Source organism: Homo sapiens, chromosome 1 (genome assembly GCF_000001405.40).
Source record: "Homo sapiens chromosome 1, GRCh38.p14 Primary Assembly".
NCBI classification, from domain to species: Eukaryota; Metazoa; Chordata; class Mammalia; order Primates; family Hominidae; genus Homo; species Homo sapiens.
Genome location: NC_000001.11, coordinates 119,638,781 through 119,651,228, shown reverse-complemented (window position 1 = coordinate 119,651,228; position 12,448 = coordinate 119,638,781). Strand labels below are relative to the sequence as shown.

Sequence of the window (12,448 nt, the reverse complement as noted above, 5' to 3'; positions counted from 1 at the left end):
TTGGTCATTTCAATCTCAACATTTTCAACACTAAGTTGCAGGAATTAGTTAATTCAACAAGTATTTGTTGAATAAGAATCCCTTATCCTCTTTCGTTCCTCTTTGTTACCCTTTGTTTCTCTCCAAGACTTTTCTCATCAGCATTTAAACATCCTCAAGGCTCTCTCATCTTAAAAACCGAACAAATAAAACCCCTACAAACAGAAGAATGTCCTTTGATCCGACTTCCTTCTCAGCTACCACCCTGTTCAGAACCAAATTTCACATACTACATGTCTTCTTTACCGTCTGTATTTCCTCCCTCCCAAGCCTTCCTCTGGCCACTCCTGTCCACTCCTGCCACTCACTGGAACAGAAGGCTTATGGAAAGAGCCCCACTTTTACAGAACACGAACCCCAGTATAAGGCAGCATTATAGCCCTTAAACACTGTGAAGTAATTTTGTGACATCTGTCTTTTCAACTGGAGTGTGGGCTTCTTGGGGGTAAGACATAGCTGGTAGTTACTCAGTAAAATATCTTACTGTTGAATGTTACATGTCTACTCCAGACATGGAGACTAGCATGAATAAATGTTAAACAAAACTTTGTTGAAGTAACAAAATAACTGAGATTGGAAACAAAAGGATGGGACAGGTTTGGAATGGCGTGAAATAATGAGTGAAAGTTCAATTATTCTGAGCTCAAGTTAGAAGTGTAGGAGAAGGAGGAGAGTGTGTTGTATTAAAAGCAAGGCAAAAAATAGTTTCAATGGGCAATGTTATATGTTAAATGCTACAAGCAAGTATATCATGTTTTTCAGACTGAACACTATTAGAGGCTACTTGATTTGCAAAACAATAATCAATTCTTTGGGGTGGAGATGGGGAGATTAGTTTCACTGGAATGTTACCAGGTTGAGAATATGAAGGAGCAGTAATTTGTAGGGTCCAGAAAATGCAAGGATCACAGCACAATTAATTTAGGTGGACAGTCAACAGAGTGGGCATACAGCAGGACCTTTAGGGTGGGCATACAACAGGAACTTTTGGGAGGTGAACAGTCCTATCTGCATGCTTCTCATCAATTCTACATTTTAATCCAGGCCATCTTATCCGTGAGGTTAAGGATCTCTAGAGAAAGAGAACTCTAGCATAAACTTTACTTAAATGTAAGCTAAACCCTTCACCCAAATGTTTTAATCATATGGATTTAAAATGTGAAATGACAAGTGGAAGTGACACGTAATTATGACCTTATTTTTTGAAACAGAGTCTCAATCTGTCACCCAGGCTGGAGTGCAATCACGGTTCACTGCAGCCTCAAACTCCCAGTCTCAAACGACCCTTCCACTTAAACGACCGAGTAGCTGGGACTACAGGTACGCGCCACCACACCCGCTATTTATTTTATTTTACTTTTCGTAGAAACAGGGTCTCACTGTGTTGCCCAGGCTGGTCTTGAACTCCTGGGCTCAAGTGACCCTCCCACTTCGGCCTCCCAAAGTGCTGTGATTACAGGCATGAGCCACCAAGCCCAGAGACTTTTCTTTCTTTCTTTCTTTTTTTTTTTTGAGACGGAGTCTCACTTTGTTGCCCAGGCTGGAGTGCACTGACATGATCTCAGCTCACTGCAAGGTCTGCCTCCCAGGTTCATTCCAGTCTCCTGCCTCAGCCTCCCGAGTAGCTGGGACTACAGGTGCCCGCCACCACGCCCGGCTAATTTTTGGTGTTTTTTTTTTTAGTAGAGACGGGGTTTCACCGTATTAGCCAGGATGGTCTCCATCTCCTGACCTCGTAGTACGCCCGCCTCGGCCTCCCAAAGTGCTGGGATTACAGGCGTGAGCCACCGCGCCCGGCCTCCCAGAGACTTTTCTATCTGATTACTTTTCAAACACATTCTAGAGCATCCTAGAACTTGTCCTTTCCTAGTTCAGTTTATTACTTTCTGCTCATGCTCCAGGAGAGAATATAGCTTTTAGTCATTTAGTCTCTATGTGGTCCTTCCTTGATTTTCTAAGGGTCCTGAGTCTGTGGTCCCAGAAATAGACAAAAACATGTGCAGGGCATCATAGACTCTTGCTAGGCTGGAAGTAGAGTTCCTCTCTTGTAGCCAATGTCCTCTTCTCCTCACCCTTCCACTCCCGAAATACACACACTCAATATACAGTGGCCAGCACATCTGTTTTATGGGACCAAGAAGCTGAATCCTAAAGGTTAATGAAGGAAAGATACGCAGAAAGTCCAGCACTTTCCTAATTCAGCAGCACACAGGTTTTCACGTCTAATATTTAATTTACGTAATTTATTTTCAATCTCAATTTAATTGCTTTTCTTGAAAAGATGTTTGGGACAAGGTCAACAATGAGGGAGGAATGTCACCGGGTCGGGATCTGGAAACAATCAGCTCTGTATGGTTTTAAAGATGAAGCGCCAAGATCTTAAGGAACCTGAATTCCTGGTGAGCAATCAAGTTCTTTAATCGGCCCCCAGCAGGATGTCAACGGCGTAAAAGACAAAAAGAAAATCTATTTTAAAAGATAGATTTTGTGTTTTTAGATTAATTTTTAAAAAGCGAACCCACCACAAACTTCCCAGTTTTTAAAGAAAAGGCCTCTCCCACCGCAGAGCCCTCCCGAACCATGGGACAGCTCAGCGGCAGCGTCCCACCGGCTGCCCGCAACCGGTGCCGCGAGCTCGGAGTGCAGCGCTGGGATCTCGCGTGCTCCGGGACAGCGGGCTCCTTGAGCGCCGCGGGGCGGGGCGTGGGGCAAGACCCGCCGGCCGCTCCCTTCCCCACAGCGCTTAGAGAAGCAGCGAGCGCCTTTCCTCCTGTCCCGGAGTCCTAGCCTGGCCCGAGCTACCTCCAGGGCGCCCGCTGCTGCGGTGGCAGGAAGTCCCCGGGAACTACAAATCGAGGCATGCTGGGAACATTCTCCCGCTCCTCCCAGGAAATGTCCTTTGTCCAGCCCTACAGGAAGCCCCAGTGAGGAGTCAGCCGGGCAGCCAGCCAGCGAGCCAGCCAGCCAGCCAGCCAGCCAGCCAGCCAACCAGCCAGCCAGCGGGCCACCCAGCGGCCGCTGCAGCCGCCGCCGCCGCACAAGGGCAGACGCGCTGCGGTGCGGGGCTCGGGCCGGGGCGCTCGGTGCCCTAGCTCCTCGCCGCGCCAGCCGCCTCGCAGGTAGGAGCGTGGCTGTGGCTGGGCTCAACCGCCTCCCGGGGATGGGGCTGATCGGGACCAGACCCGACCGCTGCGGGGATGGGGTGTGTGTTCGAGTGCGGTGGCGGAACGGCTGGGCGAAGTTGTGCCTCGTAAAGTGGACCGTTGTCCGCTCCCCTGGGGCGCAGGGCCCCGGGCTTATGGGGTGCTCTCGCGCCCCCAAAGCCAGGACTGAGCTCCCTCAGGGGTATGTGGCGAGGGGCGGGGAGGAGGAGGCTGAGACTTGAGGGAGGAGACAGCGATGCAAGAGGGAATAGGACCGTCCCGCCGACCACCGAAGGGGGCATCAGAGACCCTCGGAGAAACCAAGCCCAGGGAGGAGCTTGGAAGGCAAGGAGAAGGTGAAGGGCTTTGTGTGCAGCTGTGGACCTTGACGGACTGCGCTCCCCTTGCCTTGTCTGTTCGTGCCTCCAGCCCCACTGGGGCTAAGGGAGGGTGGGGGGCTCCGAGAAGGGCAGGAGAGAGGCGGCAGGTCATCTTGGGTCCTAGTGAATGAAATGTGTGCCTCCCTTTTCCTCTCTTCTCCATTCTAGCCCACTCAAATGAGCGGCTTTGGGGCTGCCATCAGACCGGGCAAATGACACAATAAGGACGGGTGGGTGGAGAGATGGGCAGCAGCTCGCAGCCCAAGAGGGGTGGCCGTCTAGCCCCGGGAGGCATTCCAACCACACGTGTCCATGTAGGTAGGTGGTGGGGTGGTGGGCAAAGCTGGAACCTGCACCTCGCGGGGATGCCGAGGCTCAGGATTGTGCATGGAGGCACGGGTGAGGCGCGTGTTGGGAGGAGTGGGTGAGTAAAAGGTTGAGGGGGAGCAGCGACACAGAGGCGCTGAGTGTACCTTATGGCCAATGTACATTATGGCCATGCATCGGGAACTGACTACCACTTCCTCTGGGACTTTCCACGATTTTCCTTTTTCCTAACCGCCTCCCCCAACCGCCCCCGCCCTGCCTCCCCCACAGGAGTGAATCACCCACCCCTTACTACATGAACCCTGGGCTGAATTGAAGTTGGTGATGTATCCCTGTCCTTGTAGTGGGCATGTTTGTCCTTAACCTGTAGGATGACACCAATACTCCGCATCCCCTACTGCGTTACCCTCCTCCCTCAAGACTGAGCGTCTGGTAAATGCGGTTGGATAATGGCTAGCGAGTTAAATGTCTTTGAGTAGCTGTGGTGGATGAGTGGGCAACTTTGAATACAGTCCAAGTGTGACTGTTGTAACTGAACTCAGCATGCCTAAGGGGCCACACTCACTATCTCTCCTTTCTCCCCTCACCTGATTTTTTGTTGATGCCCCCAACTGTTTACCTTCTTCTCTCAACAAGCCAACATGTGGATATTATTTAATGTGGAATACGTTTGAGGAACCAAATGAACCTTTAAGAATGCCACTTATATGGCCAGGCAGGAGTATGCAAGGCTCATGGTCGAAAGAATGATGCTGTAGGACATGGAGAGAGCCCTGAGCCTGATATAAATGGCTTTCGAGGTGAAACAAAACATTTCTTCCTTAGCTTCTTTGGGAGAGATGAGGCATTTGAACTGAGATAAAGAATGGAATCGAGAAAAAAAACCGAGTTGTTTAGGATGAGGCCATGAGGATAATGAAGTGAAGGGAAGAGGCTCTGTGAATTTAGATGATTTCTAGTTAGAACATATTGGCCGTGTGTGTGTGTGTGTGTGTGTGTGTGTGTGTGTGTGTGTGTTGGAAGTGGGGGTTGTTGTTAAGGGAAAGTTGATGTCAAAAGTTCAGCCATGCCCAACAGAGAATAAGATGGCATCCTATTGAACAAGATCATAAATATGAAGTCAGGCTGCCCTTTACATTACACAAAGGAACACATAGATGGCTTTTCAGAACTACTGGGATAGAGGGGTAAATGGATGCTAGTCAGACAGAAGAACCGGCTGGATTGATGCGGCTGGATTGAAGTGGTAAATAGTGACCTCACATCAGCAGCATGACTAAGGCTCATGGAGTTGCATCACATTTCCTCTCCCTCCCCCACCAAAACTCTTTGAATTTCCTCAGAATCTACATTTTTTGCCTAATTACTAGTGTCCTGTGAAGGGAAGGAGAAAGGGTAAAGGTTGGTTGTAAGGATGATAAACTAAGGCAAGAAGGAGCTTGTCTGCTTATGTAGAAAGAAAAAAATAGCTACAGTGTCAGTAAGAGGTCTGGAGCTTGAACCTATGTCAGTACCATATGGGCTTTTCTTTGTATCTAAGATTCTACTTCTTTTTTCTTTTCTTTCACCTGCCCCTTAACAGGTTTCTCAGTACCACACACTATGTAGAGTTAATATAATCAACAAAAGTAACTCCTTACTTTGGGATTTAAAATTCTTCACAATTCAGTGCCTACCTACCCCTCTCCTTTACTGGACCTGTGCCACCCCAATTTACCTACCCATCCTTCGAGCAAATAGCTCCCCAGTCCTTGAAGATGCAACAGACATTCTTCTACCTCCGTGACTGTCCGGTTGAACCCCATGCTTGCTGGACATCCCTGTACCTGTCCCTAATTATTTTTGTACATATCCTGGCCCAGCTGATTAGCTCCCTTACAGAACTCTTCCCAAACTTTACAGTCAAAATTAATCTTACCCCTTGGTAATTTGTATTATTTCAATGACACCTGCTTTAGGTGTTAATATCTAACAAGTGCCCAAAGGATGTTTGATTTGAAAACATGAATAAATCAAAGAAGGAGTGAAAGGATAAAAAAAATCTTAATTATCTTGCCTTTTCTTTAGAAAATGGGATGGAGCCTTTCTCATAGACCTGTGATGATTCATTGCAATTGTGAAAATAAAGCACCTAGGACATGTCAGACTGAGGCTTTTCCTTTTGCTCCTGGGTTAAGAGACCCTAAAAGTACCTATCACAGTGTCTAGTACAAGGACATTCACAAAAAGTTTGTTGAATAAGTTATTTGCCAGCCTACATTTTAAACTCTCAGGCAGAATATGGAGTGGATTAATCCCAAGCAAATAATCAACAATTTTTGTCATTGTCCTAGACTGAAGAAGGTAACTGTTTCCATTCAATTATGAAGGTGCAAAGTGCTCATTGGAAAAGCAGCACTACGAAGACTGTCCTGCTATAGCCAGACATTTACCATGCCATTTTTATTTTTATAGCCCAAGCAATCTATGAGGATTAAAATGTAGCATATAGAAATAGAAAACAAATCAGACTTTCAAATTTTCCCCAAAGACACTACAATTTAGTAGTCCCTCACTTATCTCGAACTGGGCAATTTTTCATGCTTCTTTTTATGTGATTACAATAATAGTCGCCACTTATTGAACATCTGTATATCAGCTACTAAACTAGGTGATTTACATGTCTAATCTGATGACTTATTTAATCTGATGACTTACATATTGTTATCTCCATTCTAAAAATGAGGAAACTAGGGCTTGGAGAGAAGCTAAGAAGCTTGCCTGGAGTCCCAGATTCTGAACTGAGTGTAGACTGGAATTTACGTCTGCTGACTGTCAAGCCTGTTCAGAATTTGCTTTCCATGGGAGAAAACTGACAGTTCTTTATTCCTTCTTCTCCTGAAGTCCTCCACTTCCCAGATTTCCTACCAGTAATGTTGTGCTTCTAAAAGCATCCTCATGGATCTTATTCTGAGAAGTACTGTTTTCTTCATAGATCTGTTATTTTTATGTCCTTAAACTCTAATGACCATCAGTTGGAAAGGCCAGGTTCAGAACCCCTAATAAGACCTTTGGGTAAAGAACTGTGTGTGTTTGGAATTCTTTTCTTTTTTCTCCCAGTCTGTCTGAATTCCTCTTGCCAGGCCAAGTCTCACTTCTTTTGGGTAGCCTTTTTCAACTACACCAGGCCACCCTCAGCCTCTCCCCTAATCTCTTGCATTGTTTGAAATTCTGCAGTTCAATGTTTTCTTAATGAAAGTAGACTTGAGTGGGTTCCCACACGTGACAGGGACTTTATGTCCAGAACACAACCTGGCATATGGTAGACTTTCAGAAACTGAGTTAATGATGAATTGGTAATGACTAAAATGCAGAAATGGAGGCACGAAATATTATTTGCATGTTGATAGTTTGCTTATATTGTAGAAGAGGGATAGAAAGAGAGGATAATTATTTTCTTAGTTAATTTTCACCCTTTTCATGTAACTTCCAAAAGAGGAAAGTACCTTCTGGAAATATGCCAGAGCAGACCACTGTAAGCTGAGTTTTCTGAGCTTAACTAACACTGGCACTGAATGATTATAGTGTTTAATAATTTCGGGTAGTGGGGTGGGGCATTGTTTAGTACCTTTCCCTTTGCTGTCATGCCAAATCTCTCAGATGTCATGCACATCTGAGAAAATCAGAGGGGTTTCACTGGCTGCACTTATTGGGGGAGAAGAAGGCTGGGGAGAGGAAGGAAGATAATTCATTCTGTTTTCATCAGAGCAGCAAGATTTGTGTGGGGTATAGATTTGGCATTCATTACATCATGTATTGATAAGGGATGGTTAAAAGATCAGTAGCTTCTCGTCTTTGGGTGGAAGAGAGTTTCACCTATCACTAGATTGAACACATTTCCTTAGGTTGACTAAACCTTCTTTTTCTCTGACCTCAAGGGTGCAGAGAACTTTGAAAGCCCTGGTATAAACACAGTGTGCTATGGGTTGTTAGAAGCACATTAGTCATGTTAAAGGAGAATAGGAGAGTTCTTGGGATCACTGAATCTATTCAGCAAGTCATGTTCTGTGCATCCATAGGCCAGCAACAGTGTTCCAGCAGGTGTGTGAGAGGGTCACATGCGATACTTCAGATTTCTCCTTCCTGTGGAGGCTAAATTTGCTATGGGTAGTTAAAAGGAAAGGGCCTACTTTTTATTCAGAGAGTTACTTCAGATATACATGGTCTTCTGAGAAGTTTATCAGGATCTTACCATAATTATAAAACAGGAATAAACTTTCTGGGTTTTATTTGCTAAGAAATGTTTTGCTTTGGCTCATCATCTCAGAGCTATTTCATGTGCTTAGCACATCTTTGATGCTTGATGAAGTTTAGCAGGGCACTATAGGAAGACTTTTCCAGTTGTTGAAATTTTTTGTCCCCCATACCTGGAAGCCTTTGTGAATTTCAAAGAATCACTTTATTTTTGTTTTGCTAGTTTTGAAAATCTTCAGGCAGGTATTGACAATGATTTCTGATAATAGAAGGTGGTTTAGAAAGTAGAGGTGGTTTAGAAGGTATTTAGAAATAGAAGGTAGAATAGAAATTTCATTAGAATGTAATCTTTACAACAGAGAATCTAGAATAATGGGTAGTGCATGGTAAGTGTTTGATAAATATTTGTTGAATGAATGTGTTTTTTTATTTCATTTTAATTTGTTCCTAAAATGATGGCACAGACAATTTTTTACAATGAGGTGTGGGTAAGGTTGTATGCTTATAAATTATATAAGCTGGGGAAGATAGCTTACATATATGTACATTATGTACATATATATATAAAATTTCAAAAATATTTTAGAGCAGTTTTAGGTTCACAGCAAAATTGAGAAAGTAGAGTTCCTGTCTGCCTCCGGCCCTCACACATGTACAGCCTCCCCCCCTCTCAGCATCCTGCTCCAGAGTGATACATTTGGTACAACTTATGAACCTATATTGATACATCATTATCACCCAAAATCAATAATTTACTTTAGGATTCACTCTTGGTGTACATTCTATGGTTTTGACGAATGTATAATGACGGGTATCTACCATTATAGTATAGTGCAGAATAGTTTCACTGTCCTAGACATCTTCTGTGCTGCACTTATTTATCCTTCCCTTCCCCTAACTTCTGGCAACCACTGATCTTTTTACTGTCTCCATAGTTTGCCTTTTACAGATTGTCATATGGTTGGAATCATACAGTATGTGACCTTTTCATATTGGCTTCTATCATTTAGTAGTATACGTTTTAAGGTTTCTCCATGTTTTTTCACGCCTTGATAGCTAATTTGATGTTGTCGTGTTTTGGATTTTGGCCATTCTAATGAGCGAGTAGTGGCATCTTGTTTTAACTTGAAATTCTCAAATGACATTGATGTTTGTATTAGTTCATTCTCATGCTGCTATGAAGAAATACCCAAAACAGGTAATTTATAAGGAAAAGAGGTTTAATTGACTCACAGTTCTGCATGGCTGGGGAGGCCTTGGGAAACTTACAATCATGGCAGAAGGTGAAGCAAACATGTCCTTCTTCACATGGCAGCAGAAGAGAGAAGTGCCGAGCAAAGGGGGAAAAGCTCCTTATAAAACCATCAGATCTTCTGAGAACTCTCACTATCATGAGAACAGCCTGAGGGTAACTGCCCCCATGATTCAATTACCTCCCATCTGGTCCCTTCCATGACACGAGGGGATTACGGGAACTACAATTCAAGATGAGATTTGGGTGGGGACGCAGCCAAACCGTATCAGTGTTAAAAATCTTTTCATGTGCCTATTTGCCATCTGCATATTTTCTTTGGTGAGGTGTCTGTTCAGATCTTTTGCCCATTTTTAATTGGGTTTTAAGAGTTCTTTCTATATCTTGGTTAACAGCCTTTTATCATATATATTTTTTTGCAAACATTTTCTCCCCACCTGTGACTCTTTTTCTTGTTATTTTTTTTAGTATATGAGCTTTCCCCATCTTTTCCTTTTTTAGGGGGGGATGTGTGCCAGATTTAATTTAATATAAAACTAGTTTACTCCAGAACTGAGAAACCAAAATGTGAAATTAACTGGAAGACACACTCCCCTTTTACCACCCCCCTTATAACAATAAGCATCAGTTGAATTTAACCAGACTGCAGCCACAGCCTACACTAGTCTGGGGGGCAGTTGCCACAGGACATCTTTTGTTTCTGTTTCTCTACTTCCTAATATGTGCTTGTGTTTATTGATTGAATAGGTGGTGTGGTAAGTATTCCTGGTCAACACTTCCTGTATGGCATGTAATCTTTACTAACTTTCTTAAGAGCCTTCATTTGTTTCCCAGCCTAATTCTGGACCTTTAGGGAAAGGGTTTTCTAGGCTGATGATTCTATGTAGGTGAGAAGAGAAATCAAGAAATCCATGCCTTTCTTGTTGTAGTAAGAAAAACAAAACAAAACATGAAACTCTTGAAAACTGCCAGAGAATAAAACTTTAGTCTGAATAGCCACTCTTAATGTTAAATGCAAATCTCCCCGGTATTTGAATGCACTCCCTGCCCTGCCTTACCCAGCAACTTCTTTAGTCTCATAATTACTTTGAAGATTAAATGTTGGTCTTTCTTCATTCGTCATTTAATTTCTGTGACTGCTAGTCCCAATTTTCCTTGGGTGGGAGAGAAGTAGTTGTCCTGTCATAGTGGGACAGTCTGGTAGCATTCCCCACAATGAACATAAACAGCACTGTGCCACCTCTGTTTGCACAGCTGAATCAAGGGTTAAACCCTTGGAGTGGAGGGAGGACCCACACAGGGGCATTTGATACAAACAAAGCATGCTGGCATTTGGGCCAAGAGATGTAGAATTCTTTTTTGAGAATGGTCTGCCTAACTTTTGAGGCTAATTGCCATTTCCTGTCATGGCTACCTATTTAGCAGGGTAATTAAGCATGTTTGGCTCCTGGTGCTAACAGGTTATTGGATCCAGTTGGGAGAGTTAGGTTGTCTCTATGACTCTACCTTACCTGATGTGATTTTGCCAAATCACTAGATTTCCTAGTCTTTTTAGGTCTTCCTTTTGAGACCGAGGGGAAGAAATAATTACTCCTGATTTTATCCATTTCAAGAACTATTTGAAGGTCCATTGTGTGAGGGAATTATCAAAGTGAATAAAATGTTTGTTCCCATAAGGAACTTACAGTTGGGAGGTGGTAGGAGAAAAAGGAGAGCCAAAAATAAGATATGAATTATTGTAAGTATGATTCTATTTAAAAAACTAATATTAGGCAGAATAAGAAAAAGTATCTTAAGTCATACAAAGTGAAAAAATAATAATAATTCTATCTGAGCACTTACTATCCCTATAAGGTAGGTTCAGTTGTTCTCTCCATTTTATAGATGAAGAAAACTAAGGCCAAAAGAGGTTGAACAATTTGCTTAAGGCTAACAGCTAGACTGGATTCACACAGGTCGTATGGCTCCAGAATCTTGTTTGGTTTTTGGTTTTTTTGAGACAGGATCTTGCTCTGTCACCCAGGCTGAAGTCCAGTGGTGTGAATACCTTCTGGGCACAAGCAATCCTCCCACCTCAGCCCTCCAAGTGGCTGGGATTACATGTGTATGCCACCACTTCTGGCTTTTTTTTTTTTTTTTGGAGAGACAGGGTTTTGCCCTGCTGCCCAGGCTGATCTTGCACTCCCGAGCTTAAGCGATCCACTGGCTTTGGCCCCCAAAAGTGCTGGGATTACAGGCGTGAGCCACTATGCCTGGCCAGAATCTGAGCTTTTAACCATTACAGGTGCTGCTGCCTCCGGAAAAGGACAGACTGTAACCCATGCTTTGAGGACGAAAAGCATCTCAGGAAGGGAAAACAGGGTGCCTTCTGGGGAATTTAAAGCAACCCTTTTGGGCTGGGGTTAGGGGACAGAGGTTAAGATGAGGTAAGAGAGCCTTAGGCTACATTGTTAATGACTTGGAGTCTGTGCTTATATGACCAAGTCACTTAGGGGTTTCTGAGCAGAATAATAAAGTGACAACATTTTAAGATTGATGCAGTAGTGACATGTAGGTGCATGTTAACTAGTAAGAGTGTGTACTGCAGTGATAGTGGCAACTGAAAAAAAGAGAAAAGTGAAAAGAACATGGCAACTGATTTGATTGAAAGGGGTGAGGGATGGGTCAAAGTTGAGTCCATGGTTTTGAGCTTCTGAGTAAGAACAAAGACGGCTTTAACAGAAATGGACACTGCCAGGAGGAGCTGATTTGTAGCAAAGATTCAAGAAAGGAACTAATACTTGTTTTTAAATCTGACATGGGCCAGATACAATACAAATGGAAATTCATTGAGTCTTTATAGCATCCTTTCAAGGTAGCTTGTTTTCCCCTATTGTGTAGATGATTAAACTAAGACTCGAAGAGGTGAAATAGCTGTCCCGGGGCACACCATATGTCAGTGGCAGACTTCTACTTTAACCCGTGCTGTTGACTCCTTCGCATGTGCTTTTCCTGTTTCTGCTGCCTCCTGTCCCTTGTCACATGGGACATGCGGGACAGCACCTCAGGACTGGAAGGGACATTCAGCCTCCTCA

At 43.9% G+C, this 12,448-nt stretch overlaps 1 protein-coding gene and 1 long non-coding RNA gene across 4 annotated transcripts in view, besides 4 other annotated features; one reads left to right on the top strand and one right to left on the bottom strand.

Moving 5' to 3' along the window:
* Positions 2,127-2,967: an enhancer, noted in NCBI's record as "OCT4-NANOG-H3K27ac hESC enhancer chr1:120190885-120191725 (GRCh37/hg19 assembly coordinates)". NCBI's record gives its function as "activates a minimal SCP1, AML or CMV promoter by ChIP-STARR-seq in primed H9 embryonic stem cells {active_cell/tissue: H9 hESC(primed)}" and the evidence as "EXISTENCE:reporter gene assay evidence [ECO:0000049][PMID:30033119]".
* LOC124904389 (uncharacterized) lies at positions 2,253-2,913 on the bottom strand. The gene is made up of 2 exons (XR_007066506.1): positions 2,842-2,913; positions 2,253-2,505 (listed from the first exon to the last, which is right to left on the bottom strand). It is a non-coding gene; the product is annotated as an uncharacterized LOC124904389 (long non-coding RNA).
* Positions 2,886-2,955: an enhancer, noted in NCBI's record as "active region_1594". NCBI's record gives its function as "activates an Ori minimal core promoter by ATAC-STARR-seq in GM12878 lymphoblastoid cells {active_cell/tissue: GM12878}" and the evidence as "EXISTENCE:reporter gene assay evidence [ECO:0000049][PMID:35858748]".
* The window catches only part of ZNF697 (zinc finger protein 697), a 28,890-nt gene continuing 19,404 nt past the window's right edge, over positions 2,963-12,448 (top strand). For 2 of the 3 annotated variants that reach the window (XM_005271315.4, XM_047433849.1), the window contains exon 1: positions 2,963-3,158. The gene's annotated coding sequence lies outside the window, so the exon portion shown is untranslated. Of the gene's footprint in view, positions 3,539-12,448 lie in introns of all 3 variants that reach the window. The other variant, NM_001080470.2, reaches the window with a different exon arrangement.
* Positions 3,026-3,085: a silencer, noted in NCBI's record as "silent region_1247". NCBI's record gives its function as "represses an Ori minimal core promoter by ATAC-STARR-seq in GM12878 lymphoblastoid cells {active_cell/tissue: GM12878}" and the evidence as "EXISTENCE:reporter gene assay evidence [ECO:0000049][PMID:35858748]".
* Positions 3,383-3,546: a silencer, noted in NCBI's record as "fragment chr1:120190306-120190469 (GRCh37/hg19 assembly coordinates)". NCBI's record gives its function as "represses an EF-1alpha promoter that drives an FKBP-Casp9 reporter gene in an ReSE screen in HepG2 liver carcinoma cells and phorbol 12-myristate 13-acetate-treated (for megakaryocytic differentiation) K562 erythroleukemia cells {active_cell/tissue: HepG2 | K562(+PMA)}" and the evidence as "EXISTENCE:reporter gene assay evidence [ECO:0000049][PMID:32094911]".